General features: G+C 51.8%; 1 long non-coding RNA gene across 1 annotated transcript in view, besides 4 other annotated features; it reads left to right on the top strand.

Moving 5' to 3' along the window:
• Positions 1-13,763, top strand: part of MIR34AHG (MIR34A host gene) — a 34,328-nt gene that overhangs the window by 14,035 nt on the left and 6,530 nt on the right. The gene's annotated exons all lie outside the window — the stretch shown is intronic.
• Positions 3,490-3,539: a silencer, noted in NCBI's record as "silent region_212". NCBI's record gives its function as "represses an Ori minimal core promoter by ATAC-STARR-seq in GM12878 lymphoblastoid cells {active_cell/tissue: GM12878}" and the evidence as "EXISTENCE:reporter gene assay evidence [ECO:0000049][PMID:35858748]".
• Positions 4,050-4,379: an enhancer, noted in NCBI's record as "active region_120". NCBI's record gives its function as "activates an Ori minimal core promoter by ATAC-STARR-seq in GM12878 lymphoblastoid cells {active_cell/tissue: GM12878}" and the evidence as "EXISTENCE:reporter gene assay evidence [ECO:0000049][PMID:35858748]".
• Positions 5,310-5,379: a silencer, noted in NCBI's record as "silent region_211". NCBI's record gives its function as "represses an Ori minimal core promoter by ATAC-STARR-seq in GM12878 lymphoblastoid cells {active_cell/tissue: GM12878}" and the evidence as "EXISTENCE:reporter gene assay evidence [ECO:0000049][PMID:35858748]".
• Positions 5,530-5,599: a silencer, noted in NCBI's record as "silent region_210". NCBI's record gives its function as "represses an Ori minimal core promoter by ATAC-STARR-seq in GM12878 lymphoblastoid cells {active_cell/tissue: GM12878}" and the evidence as "EXISTENCE:reporter gene assay evidence [ECO:0000049][PMID:35858748]".

The raw sequence follows: 13,763 nt of genomic DNA, 5'->3' as shown, positions 1-13,763 counted from the left end.
CTCCCTCCTCAGCCTCTTGAGTAACTGGGACTACAGGTGCACACCTGGATGATTTTAAAATATTTTTTTAGAGATGGCCTCTCCCTGTGTTGCCCAAGCTGGTCTCAAACTCCTGGGCTCAAGAGATCCTCCCACCTCAGCTTCCCAAAGCATTAGGATTACAGGTGTGAGCCACCGTGCCTGGTCTGAATTTCTTGCTTTACATGTTAGCTGGGAAGTAGATGCCCTCAAGAATGGTGGAGCATATGAGCTGTCCCTCTAGGTCAGTCCCATGGCCACCCAGCTCCAGCCCTGTCTCTAGGTGTGTGAATCCCTTTTGCACAACAGAGAGCCTGGGGAGGTGGAAGGTCTTGGTGACACCTTGTGAGTTATTCACACTGGCTGTGGGTGACAGAGCCAGAGGTGGGAGCACAGAGCTCTCACAGCACAGAGGAGTAAGGAGTTGAAGCTGCAGAAACAATGCTGAGGCCTGAGGTGGAGGAACAGTTGTAAATGGAAAATTAGACGGCAGTTCTGCAGGTTGGAAAGTGGGTGATAAAGTGGGCGTGCAGGCACCATTCCAGGAGGCTGTGCCTTGTGTGCATTGAGAGCAGGTCAGGTGGCCAGGAGGCTCCAAGCTTAAAGCTGCCAGGTGAGCCAAGCATTTTTTTTTTTTTTTTTTTTTTGAGACAGAGTCTCCTTCTGTCACCCAGGCTGGAGTGCAGTAGCGCGATCTTGGCTCACTGCAACTTCTGCCTCCCAGGTTCAAGTGATTCTCCTGCCTCAGCCTCCTGAATAGCTGGGATTACAGGCGTGCGTCACACGCCCAGCTAATTTTTGTATTTTTAGTAGAGATGGGGTTTCACCATGTTGGTCAGGCTGGTCAGGCTGGTCTTGAACTCCTAACCTCGTGATCTGCCTGCCTTGTCCTCCCAAAGTGCTGGGATTACAGGGTGAGCCACTGCGCCTGGCCTTTCTTTCTTTTTTCTTTTTCTTTTTCTTTTTTTTTTTTTTTGAGACAGTCTCACTCTGTCACCCAGGCTGGAGTGCAGTGGTGCCATCTCGGCTCACTGCAACTTCCACCTCTGGGGTTCATGCGATTCTCCTGCCTCAGCCTACCGAGTAGCTGAGATTACAGGTGTGTGCCACCACGCCTGGCTAATTTTTGTATTTTTGGAGACACCAGTTTCACCATGTTGGCCAGGCTGATCTTGAACTGCTGACCTCAGGTGATTCCGCCTGCCTCGGCCTCCCAAAGTGCTGGGATGACAGGCATGAGCCACCACGCCCGGCCTGGGCCAAGCATTTTTGCAGTGACTTTCCTCCTTGTGAGCAGCCTCAGAGGCAGGCACTGGATCCAGAACCTCGTCTTGATCCTAACAGCCTCTGTGTGCCAGCTGCAATAGCATCCAAGCTACAGGGAAGCAGTTTCTATTTTCGCATTGGAGTCAGCGGCTCCTGCCTGCCTGGTGGGTCGCATCCTCCCATTCTTTGCTCAAACTTCAAAAGGGCCTTCCAGGATCCGCCTTCCCAGGGTACATTGAAGAGCTGGTGTTTCCCCACATCCACCCTCTCTCCCGAGGAAAGGCCGTGGTCTGAGGGGAACGGCAGTGGCAGGGGCCACCTACTCAGGGGGAGTGCAGGCAGGAGGTCTAGGGGTGTAAGATGGGCAGCCTCCCTGCTGCAGGGGGCTCCCAGCTGGAGCGTGGACTTGTTTCTCTCATTTCCTGAGGTTTGCTGGAGACAGGCGTTTGCTTAGCGCCGGGAGCTGTCTCCTGTGGTCTCTGTCCTTTGACTTATTCAGAGTCTCACTTGGCGTCGGTTTTCCAGGGTCTGGTAACCAGGATGAATGACGCATGGAGTTGCAACCCAGACTGCAGTTCAGGAGTTTCCCAAGCAGGCAAGGCTCTGTATCCCGTGAAAGGGGGTGTGGATACGAGATATTCTGCCCTTATTCTTATTTTTTCCTAATGTTCTTTTAGATTTATAAAATAAGTAATAATACTCATAAAAACTCAAACGGGCCAGACGCGGTGGCTCATGCTTGTAATCCCAGCACTTTGGGAGGCTGAGGCTGGAGAAACACTTGAGCCCAGAGGTTTGAGACCAGCTTGAGCAACATAGTAAGACCCTGTCTCTAAAAGAATTGTTTTAAACATTAGCCGGGTTGCCAGGTGCAGTGGCTGACGTCTGTAATCCCAGCACTCTGGGAGGCCGAGATGGGCAGATCACCTGAGGTTAGGAGTTCGAGACTAGCCTGGTCAACATAGTGAAACCCCGTCTCTACTAAAAATACAAAAATTTAGCCAGGTGTGGTGGCGCACACCTGTAATCCCAGCTACTTGGGAGGCTGAGGCAGGAGAATTGCTTGAATCCGGGAGGCAGAGGTTGCAGTGAGCCGAGATCACACCACGGCACTCCAGCCTGAAGGACAGGGTGAGACTCCGTCTCAAAAAAAAAAAAAAAAAAGATTAGCTAGGCGTGGTATGGTGGTGCACACCTGTGGTCCCAGCTACTAGAGGAGCTGAGGGGGTAAGATGGATGGCTGGAGCCGGGGAGGTTGAGGCTCTGGTGAGCTATGATCATGCCACTGTGCTGCAGCTCAGCGGGTGACAAAGCCAGACCCTGTCTCTGAAAAAAAAAAAAAAAAAAAGTCAAGCAATTCATATGTAGATGCAGTTAATGAGCTGGGCCTATTTCTGTCCTGCTTCTTCCCTAAGTCCCCAAACACCTCCCATATCAGCCTTGGGCATGTGTCCTTCCGGTTCACCCACTTCTTGGAGATGCTTTCTGTTGACTATTTGCTGAACTCTGTGGCCGCCCAGAAAATACTCCAGGGAGTGTGATGTGCGTCTATTTCCGGAGCCTCATTTCAGCAGGACTGGTGCCTGGTCAGGGTCTAGACCCTCCACCTCAGGGCCTGCCGTGGAGCAGCCAGAACCCTGGCTTCCCCCAGGTCCCCTAGACAGGCTGCTGTCACCTCTGCCCAGCTCTGGACTCTGGGGTCTCCCCAGATGAATGCACGGCTCCCTCTCCCCCAGGCCCTCATCGGGGACAGGTGGCCTCTGCATGTTCCACTGGTCTGGCAGGTCAAGAACTCAGATTGTTTTAACAGTGGGTGAGGCTTTTATGTATTCAGGTGAGACAACGAATGTGAAAGCTCATTGTCACCTGTAAAGCACCTACCAGTCTGCTGTGACGATGACGGGATGATGAGAACTGTCATCGCTCCTTCTCATTCCTGTGGCTTTACTGTGGGACCTTGAGAGCCAGAGCAGCAGGGGGGAGGTTCTGAGGGTCTAGAAGCCTCGGCAAGGGGCTGTTGCAGCCAGGGGCAGTCAGGCAGGGTCACCCATGCAGGGGCAGCCAAGTGGCTTGCCCAAGCTGGGGTCTATGCCTAGAGGACCCTCCAAAGATGCTGACCCCCTGAAGCCTGGCATCACCCAGGGAGGAGCTGTCACCACCATGGCCCTCTGGGCTACTAAAAACAACCTTTTGCCCAGGACTTGCAAGGAAGAGAGAGAGAGTTCTCGGTGGATGAGAACAGTTTTTCAGTGGCAGTGCTACAGACATTTGGGGCCAGATGATTTTTTGTGGTGGGGGCTGCCCTGTGCACTGTAGGATGTTTAGCGGCATTCCTGGCTTCTACCCACTAGAAGCCAGGAGCACTCCCTACCCTTCAATTGTGATAATCAAAAACGTCTGGGTTTTTTTCTTCTTTTTTTTTTTGAGACAGAGTCTTGCTCTGTCACCCAGGCTGGAGTGCAGTGATGCGATCTTGGCTCACTGCAACCTCCACCTCCCAGTCTCAAGTGATTCTCCTGCTTCAGCCTCCCAAGTAGTTGGGATTACAGGTGTGTGCCACCATGCCCAGTTAAGTTTTGCATTTTTAGTGGAGATAGGGTCTTGTCATGTTGGCCAGGCTGGTCTCGAACTCCTGACCTCAAGTGATCTGCCCGCCTCGGCCTCCCAAAGTGCTGGGATTACAGGCATGAGCCACCACACCCGGCCCCAAAAATGTCTTTAGATATTGCCAAATGTCCCCTGGGTGACAAAATCATCCCCCAAACTGCTGGATTAGAGGCTTTGGAAATGGATTTTCTGTGACCACTGCTTCACCATTGTAAGCTGCCTCTCATTTGGGTGCAGTTTTCTTTGTTCCTTTTCCAAAAAGCTGACCTCATCGGGCCCATTTGTTTGTTTCGTTGACTCACCCAGTCTAACCGCAAGCAGCCTTCCTCCTCTGGGGGATCCCAAATGACTTATCATGGGACTTTGTATGTAAATTTCAAAGATTATTTTCTACTAAATCAGAGGCAGAAATCCTCAACTTCTTTTTTAGCAGCCTTGGTAAATACTTCCTTAGAGTGTTTAAGGGGCGTGCCGCACTCCTGCTGGTGGTCTGATTGTGAACACCTTTGCTGTTCAGTTCCCTGAAATCGCCAAATATTTCCCTCTCCTTTGGGTCTCAGCCCAGTGACTAGCGGATGATCTAAGGGCCAGGGCGGTCTGAGTTGGCTAGTGCACCGGGGATTTTCTTAAGGCCTTTGACCCGGGGACTGGTGTGGGAGGAAGGCAAAGGCCTGGTTGTTTATGAGCAAGGAGGAGTCAGGTCCGAGGATGGAGCCCTTCGGGGTCACTGCCCTGGGCCCTGCCCCTCTCCTGCACATCAGGCCCCTTGGACAAGGCCCGTGTGTTTGCAGGACCCTCTTGGGGCAGCAGAGCAAGGGCTGGCTTTGAGAGAGAGCCTCACTTTTTTGTTTTTTTTTTTTTTTTTTTTTTTAAGTAGAGACGGGGTTTCTCCATGTTGGTCAGGCCAGTCTTGAACTCCTCACCTCAGGTGATCTGCCCTCCTCGGCCTCCCAAAGTGCTGGGATTACAGGCGTGAGCGACCGCGCTCGGCCAGGGCTTCACTTTCAAGCTCAGTGCTGCTCTGAGGGGTGGACACAGCCCTGATGTCAGTAGCTGAAGACCTGCCTGGCCACACTCAGCAGCAGTTAGCCTTCTCCTCCCGCGCCCCGTGAACAAGGCTGTACCCTGGGAGGTTGGGCTCTGTCTGAATTCCATCACAGGTCCTCTCCTGGGCCTTGCCCTGCTTTGTTGCCTCCTTAGGAGGATGTCTTCTGGTTTCCTAGGAAGGGCTTTATATCTTAACATCCACCCTGCATTCAAAACCCAAGTTATCAAGACCACAGGGCACCACAACCCTCCTCTTGGCCTTGCGGTTTCTATTCTTCAGTGACTCCCAGAGGTTTGGCTTGATTGGCAGCTTAGAAGCACATGATTGAACTTGAGCAGTGGTTGAAACTCAGAGTCAGATGCCTGACCCGCCCCAATCCCAGGCACAGAGTCTGACCTCACACCCAGGCTGTGCTGTGTACTCAGTTGTTCAGTATCGACTTGAGCTTGACGGGCATCAGGGGCCAGGGAGTGAAAGGGAAGAGAAGCCAAATCTGGCTGCTAAGGGCTCTCAGTCCTGGAGGGCAGGAAAATAGTGGCCTTGCCGCTAGACCTGATGCCACCTGCCCCTCCAGCTGTACCCCCTCAACACCTTGGGTAATACCTCAAGCCCCACGTCCTCTTCCAAGCCAGATAGGACCCCAAGTGCTGGGTGATCCTTATTGAAGGGTAGGGACAGGAGGGACCCGTGGGATTGTGTGTGCTCAGAGCGGAGTTCAGGGGCACCTGAGGGCAAACTGTCTCTTTGCTCCCAGGGCTGTCCTCCGTGCCTTTACCTGTGCTGGGCCCTGGCAGAGCTCTGAGTCTTCTGGATTCCAGCGTCCATAGTAGCTAGTCTGTCCACTGCTGGAGAAAAGCTGCTTTCCCAAAATAGCCACCCAGGGGGAAAGAGCAGCCCTGGAATTTGACCCTGACGATCACCGTGACGGGGCTGCTGGCCCCACCTGGCCTGACCTCCACGACATCACGGAAGGACTGTTGGTTAGTTGTGGGGGCCAGGATTTTTCCTCTGTCCCCCTCCCCTCTTCTTCTTCCCTTTCTTCTTTCTCTCTGCCAGCTTCAGGTTTGAAATTCCAGTGACACCGAGGGAGATGCTCCAGTGCCTGTCCGGCTGGGGGGCAGGTCACATGGTGGGAGCAGAGAGGGGAGGGCACTTGTGCGCCTGCACCTCTTGGCAGGTGAATGCACACCTATGGAGGGGCCTGGGTGCTGGCAGCGAGCCCCGCTCCCTGCGGCTGTGCCAGGCCCAGAGGCGGCAGCGAGCCCAACAGGTCAGACAGGTGGAGCCAGGCTGGGGAAGCTGCAGGACCAGAGCTGACATCCGATCAATCCAAGGTCCTTCTTTGGCCCACAGAGCAGGTAACCCACCCTTTTCTTTCTTTTTTTTTTTTCTTTCTTTCTTTTTTTTTCTGGTTTAATTCACTGACAACTTTAGGGAACATTTACAACCCGAGAAAAAGGCCATTGAGATTGGGGGGCAATCGCGAATTGTTTGGAGAGGGATTTGTGGTGTTTTGTGTGGAGGAAATTTGGCCTCGGCATTAGAAAAGCATTTCTAATTTTCAGGTCTTTGATTCTGAAAGCAGATTTCTTATGGAGCCTGGGTGCTGGGTGGCATATTGGGGAGGCAAAGCCCAGAAGCCATGAGGGTTTTCCTGTGACTGCTGATGGAACACCGTGGGAGGCTGTAGTTTGGTGGCCTGTTTGCCTCCATAAGGAGGGGTTGGGGCAGAGACAGGGTGGTCGGGGGACTGCTCCGCGACAGGACTTGGCTGTATGGGGGAAGCTCTCCCAGTTCCTATCAGAGAAACACGTGGAGGGCTGGACTCCCTCCAAAATTCAAATTTATGCTACAGGCCCTTACTGGGGCTGGATTTTACTTGGAGATTGTTTGGAGTTTTGAAATCACCTCTCCTGGTAAGAAGACTCGGTCTCCTGTGTTCTTGCCCCCTCTGTATCTTGGCCAGTGATGGTTCCCTTAGACAAATTGATGGGGGATTTCTGGCCTGAGGACAGGAAGAAAAGGAGCCCAGGTCTGTTTCAGTGAAGAACAAGCCCAGGACACCCCACCTGAAACTAGGACTAGTTTTGCCCAGTTTGGCATCGTTGAAAACGCATTTGCCCTCTTCCTTGAACCAGGCTGTGCCTTCTTCTATCTGTTTCCCTGCCATGGAACATCACCCAAACATTTTACTGGGAAGGGGAGGGGTAAGAGCAGATACAATGCTTGTCTGAAACCCCCGTTGCATGGCATTCTTTGCAGGGACAGGACAGGGGAGCAGTTTTTGCTGTTACCGAACCCTTTGTGACAGAGATGCTGTTTGTTAAGTGATTTGCTTTTTTACAAAAAAAATTCCAAGGTAATTGATGATGACACAGTTGCTTAGACTATGGAATATACCAGTTAGGATTCCTTCAGCTGCAAGTAAGAGAAAACCTTACTTAAAATGACTTAATCAGAACAGTAAACATTTTTTAAGGCTAGGTGCAGTGGATCACGCCCATAATCCTAACACTTTGGGAGGCTGAAGCAGGAGGATCCCTTGAGCCCAGGAGTTCGAGACCAGCCTGGGCAAACAGGCAGATGTGGGGTATCTCTACAAACAAACCAAACCAAACCAAAACAAAAAAACTAGCCAGGTGTGGTGGCATGCACCTGTGGTCCCAGCTACTCAGGAGGCTGAGGTGGGAGAATCGCTTGACCCCAGGAGGTGGAGGCTGCAGTGAGCTGGGATTGTGCCACTGCACTCCAACCTAGGCAAAAGAGCAATGCACTGTCTCAAAAATAAAAAAAGTAATAAACCAAGTAGTCCAGAGGTAGGGCAGCTTCAGGACAGGTGACATCCAGGCGCTCAGTAATGTCAAGGACTTTGGTTCCCTCCGTATCTCTGCTCTGCTGCCCTCACCCCACTGGCTTCATTGCCTGCCAGTTCCTCTCCCATTGGGCTCCTCCCGGGGTCTCCTCATGAGTGAGGAAGCCTTTCCCAAAGCCCATGCTGACTTTCTCACACACCTCATTGGCCAGAATTGGGTCTTGTGCTCAGCCCCAAACCAATCAGTGGCAAAGGAAGGGATGACCTCGAGGACTTCATGAGGCACGTGGCCAGGGGAGGAGGGTGGGTTGCCCAGACCAAATCAGGGTCTATGAGCAGGGAGAAGAGGGGGCGTGGATTTGGGACAGGCAACCAACAGCATGTGCTACATCCAAAAATTTAAATTTACTCAGATTTTAAACTGATTTGGGGTAAAACAATAACCCTTACTCCTCAAATATATATATATGTGTGTGTATATATATGTGTGTGTGTATATATATATGTGTGTGTGTATGTGTGTGTGTGTGTATATATATATATATTTTTTTTTTTTTTTAAGAAATTCTCACCAGGCACAGTGGCTCATGCCTGTAATCCCAGCACTTTGGGAGGCCAAGGTGGACAGATCACCTGAGGTCAGGAGTTCAAGACCAGCCTGGCCAACATGGGTGAAACCCCGTCTCTACTAAAAATACAAAATTAGCCGAGTGTGGTGGCAGCCGCCTGTAATCCCAGCTACTTGGGGGGCTGACGTAGGAGAATTGCTTGAATCCAGGAAGCAGAGGTTGCAGTGAGCCGAGACCGTGCCATTGCACTCCAGCCTGGGCAACAAGAGTGAAACTCCATCTCAAAACAAAAAAGAGATTCTCAATGCAGTGGTAATTTCCGACAATCCTAGCATCTACTCTTCACTTTTCACTGCCCAGGGAGACCCCTCTTCCCAGTAAGCAGCTGGGCTGCTAGTTTTTAGGTGTTTGAGCCTTTTTTCTTGTTTTTTTTTTTTTTTTAAATGAACCTGCTGCCTCCCAGAGTTGGCTGCTTAAGGTTCCATCCATAAGAACCAGAAAAAGGGAAAAACAGAGTCTTAAATATTAAGAGGTATGAGATGAATGAGTCTCTCGCTCTGCAAATGGCAAAGGCAAAAGGCTTTTGGCTGGTGGCCCCAAAGAGCCAGCAAGGCTCTCTGCCATTTACCCAGGGATGCTACGGGAATCAGCAGAGGGACAGCATTCTAACACATCATCAATAGGGCAACTAGCAACCTGCTGCAGTTTTCTCCTGTCTCCTGGGGACACGAGGGTGGTGGTACCCTGCCCCCCACCCCCCACAGCCGGTGAAAGCTTGTTCCAGTAGCCACGGACCTGTCAGTCATTTTTGAGGGTCAAAACTTCCACATCCATCTTTTTGACCCCATCCCCAAGACAGCCACTCTCCTCTCTGCCATGGCTCCAACCTGGACAGAATTAGCTGCAGATCTGGATGGAGTCTCTGAAGCCCCTCTTAGCCACCAGCTTCTTCCAGGCCAGGCCAGAATTTCTTTTTTGTTGTTATTGTTTTTCTTTGAGACAGAGTCTTGCTCTTGTCACCCAGGCTGGAGAGCAGTGGCATGATCTCAGCTCACTGCAACCTCTGCCTCCCGGGTTCAAGCTATTCTCCTGCCTCAGCCTCCTGAGTAACTGGGATTACAGGCATGCACCACCACTCCCAGCAATTTTTTTGTATTTTTAGTAGAGACGGGGTTTCACCATGTTGGCCAGGCTGGTCTCAAACTCCTGACCTCAGGTGATCTGCCCACCTCGGCCCCCCAAAGGGCGGGGATTACAGGCGTGAGCCACTGCACCTGGCCCAGGCCAGGGTTTCAAGAGGAGATGACACAGTGGCAGAAAAATTCCTTCAAGGGGACTCTGAGCTGGTGTTAAACATCCGCAGCTTCCTCTCAAAGCCTGGGACGCTGGCTCCTCCCCAGCACTGTCCTCCCTCCACCAGGACGGGCCCTTCACTAGTACTTGTGGTTTAGAGGGGATTCGAGGAAACAGTTGAACTGCCCTGCAGAGGGAGAGAGGAGGGCTTTGGTCTCTGGAGATGTTTTTATTTTTTATTTATTTTATTTTATTTATTTATTTATTTGAGATGGAGTTTCGGCTCTCGTTGCCCAGGCTGGAGTACAATTGTGTGATCTTGACTCACTGCAACCTCTGCCTCCTGGGTTCAAATGATTCTCCCGCCTCAGCCTCCTGAATAGCTGGGATTACAGGCATGTGCCACTACACCCAGCTAATTTTTTTTTTATTTCTTAGTAGAGACAGGGTTTCACCATGTTGGCCAGGCTGGTCTTGAACTCCTGACCTCAGGTGATCTGCCCACCTCGGCCTCCCAAAGTGCAGGGATTACAGGTGTGAACCACCGTGCCCAGCCTATTTATTTTTTTAGAGACAAGGTCTCGCTCTATCACCCAGGCTGGAGTGCAGTGGTGTGATCACGGCTCACTGCAGCCTCCGCCTCCCAGGCTCAGGTGATCCTCCTGCCTCACAGGCGTGCACCACCATGCCCAGCTCACTTTTTAATTTTTTGTAGAGATAGCACCTTGCAATGTTGCCCAGACAGGTCTTGAACTCCTGTCCTCAAGCAGTCCTCCCTCCTCAGGCCCTCAAAGTGTTGGGGATTATATGCGTGAGCCACCAGACCAGGCCAGGATATACTTCTAAATGAAAAGCTACCGGCCCAGCCTTAGCCGATTTCGGTCATGAAAGTGGCTTTTCTTTCTGAATCCATCACCTGTGGCCCCTACTTTAGCTGTGTTGGCCTTTAACCTGTTAGAGGACATTAAAGCAATCTCTTTGCTCTCATATAGTCATATTGTGTTTGGATCAGAGGGACGTCTGAGGTTTCATCTGCTTATGCAGACGGTGCCAGCTAAGCCGTGCCTTTTGGGTCCAGGTGACCTCCAAAGCAGGCCTCTCCAACACATAAAGATCATTGGGACATAGTCACGTGTGAAGGGTCTGCCCGTGTCCGCTGTGCATTAGGTGCTGTTGGGGAAATGGGAGCAGAGGATGAGGTCATGACCCCACACACCCGCAACCTGATGTTTGCTGTCATGGTGGAAGCATGCCCGTGGTGGGGGGTAAGGGTATGGGGCTTCGTTTTGTTTGGTTTGGTTTTCAGTATATTTACCAGTCCCCGCCACCAGGCTTCTAGAACAGTTCTGGCAAGAGATCCCTCCACCTCTAAACATGCTGTGTCTTCCCATTGCTCCTAAAACAAAGGCGGGTTCTTCGTGGAGGCCTGCGAGGTCGCCCACTTCTGCCTCACTTGTCCCCGCCTTCTTGGTTGCTTCAACACCGTGGCCTCCTTGGCAACTTCAGCCACCACACGACCCTCCCAGGCTGCTGGTCCTCCCTCCCCGAGCCCTACTTCACCCACCCTGATGCCCGTGGTGCGGCGTGTTCCCTGTTACCCTTCCCTGATCTCATTGATGAGGCCACGGGGACGACATCCCAGACTACCTTCTCCTCTGGAAGAGAAGCTAGGGGTCTTTCCTCCCTAGCACTGCTCCCCATTGTAATTTTGCCCAGCTGTGATTTCTTGCCTGTGTCTGCTCCACGGACATTAGATTCTCCAAGGCCCAGGACACCTGTCTGTCCCCCCGCCATGACTGGTGAACACCCAGCATGGTGTCCACAGGTCAGAGGCTCTCGGTGGCTGTGTGTTGGATGTGGAGGGGACCATCATGCTTCTGGGAGATGTGCTGTGGGGCTGAGGAGGTTTCCTGAGTGAATTTTCACATCCCAGTGATGGTGAGAGCTCCTGTGTTTCTGGGAATCATACCATCCGAGAGCATCATTACCAGAATCAGCATTTTCTTTTCTTCTTCTTCTTCTTTTTTTTTTTTTTTTTTTGAGACAGAGTCTTCCTCTGTTACCCAGTCTGGAGTGCAGTGACACCATCTCGGCTCACTGTAACCTCCGCCTTATGGGTTCAAACAATCCTCCCGCCTCAGCCTCCCAAGTAGTTGGGATTACAGGCACCTGCCACCATGCCCGGCTAGTTTTTGTGTTTTTAGTAGAGACAGGAGTTTCACCATGTTGCCCAGGTTGGTCTCAAACTCCTGACCTGAAGTGGTCCACCCACCTCAGCTTCCCAAAGCAGTGGGATATACCGGTGTGAGCCACCGCACCCGGCCAGAATCAACGTTTTCTTTTGTGCTGAAGGAGCTCACAGCCCCTCTGGAGTTCTATTTCCTGCTAAAGATGGCTTCTGATTTTCTCGAATTCCTCCTGGTTTGCTGGACCAGCAGGGCTGGCTGGGCAGCAAGACACATCAGGCCTGGGGCCTTATACATCTTATGTTTAATGCAGCAGAAGCTGGGCCTGATACTTAGAGTGAAGGCCTTTCTGTAGAAAGGAACATCATTTAAATCTCTGTCCTCAGGTTGTGACTCCAGGGAAGTCTGACATGGTTAAAGATTGCTGACTTGGTACGTTTTGTATTTTGTGGAACACAATCAATTTTCATGTATTGATTAATTATTCCCCATTGCCTAAAATCCTGGCCTCCTCTCTCTTGATGGAGAAGGCTGTCCCCAAAGTCCAGGCCTAGAATCTTTGACTGGAAAGACTGTCCTGAGAGTCCAGGCCTCCTCTCTCTGACTGGAAAGACTGTCCTGAGAGTCCAGGCCTCCTCTCTCTGACTGGAAAGCCTGTCCTCAGAGTCCAGACCTCCTCTCTCTGACTGGAAAGACTGTCCTGAGAGTCCAGGCCTCCTCTCTCTGACTGGAAAGCCTGTCCTCAGAGTCCAGACCTCCTCTCTCTGACTGGAAAGATTGTCCTGAGAGTCCAGGCCTCCTCTCTCTGACTGGAAAGACTGTCCTCAGAGTCCAGGCCTCCTCTCTCTGACTGGAAAGACTGTCCTCAGAGTCCAGGCCTCTTCCCTCTGACTGGAAAGATTGCCCTCAGAGTCCAGGCCTCTTCTCTCTGACTGGAAAGATTGTCCTCAGAGTCCAGGCCTCCTCTCTCTGACTGGAAAGACTGTCCTCAGAGTCCAGGCCTCTTCTCTCTGACTGGAAAGACTGCCCTCAGAGTCCAGGCCTCTTCTCTCTGACTGAAAAGATTGTCCTCAGAGTCCAGGACTCCTCCCTCTGACTGGAAAGATTGCCCTCAGAGTCCAGGCCTCTTCTCTCTGACTGAAAAGACTGTCCTCAGAGTCCAGGCCTCTTCTTTCTGACTGGAAAGACTGTCCTGAGAGTCCAGGCCTCCTCTCTCTGACTGGAAAGCCTGTCCTCAGAGTCCAGACCTCCTCTCTCTGACTGGAAAGATTGTCCTGAGAGTCCAGGCCTCCTCTCTCTGACTGGAAAGACTGTCCTCAGGGTCCAGGCCTCCTCTCTGTGACTGGAAAGACTGTCCTCAGAGTCCAGGCCTCCTCTCTCTGACTAGAGACTGTCCTCAGAGTTCAGGCCTCTTCTCTCTGATTGGAAAGATTGCCCTCAGAGTCCAGGCCTCTTCTCTCTGACTGGAAAGATTGTCCTCAGCGTCCAGGCCTCTTCTCTCTGACTGGAAAGATTGTCCTCAGAGTCCAGGCCTCCTCTCTCTGACTGGAAAGGCTGTCCCCAAGTGATTCTCCCCCCTTGGGCTCCCAAAGTGTTGGGATTACGCATGTGAGCCACCATCCAATTTTTTATTTTTATTTTTAGAGACAGGGTCTTGCTCTGTCACCCAGGCTAGAGCGCAGTGGCTCACTGCAGCCTCAATTCCTGGGCTCAAGTGATCCTCCCACCCTGGCCTCTTGAGTAGCTGGGACTACAGGCATGCACTACCACCACCACCTCCTCTGTCTAACCAGAAAAAATTGTCCCTGAAGTCCAGGCCTTCTCTCTCTGACTGGAAAGATTGTCCACAGAGTTCAGACCTCCTCTCTCTAACTAGAAAGATTGTCCCTAAAGTCAGAGCCTCCTCTTTCTGACTAGGAGGATTTTCTTCTCCATCTGAGGGTCCTGACTCAGGAGGAAGAGGA

This window comes from Homo sapiens, chromosome 1 (genome assembly GCF_000001405.40).
Source record: "Homo sapiens chromosome 1, GRCh38.p14 Primary Assembly".
NCBI classification, from domain to species: Eukaryota; Metazoa; Chordata; class Mammalia; order Primates; family Hominidae; genus Homo; species Homo sapiens.
The sequence above is the reverse complement of the archived record's forward strand: the minus strand, read 5'-3'. Positions and strand labels throughout refer to the sequence as shown.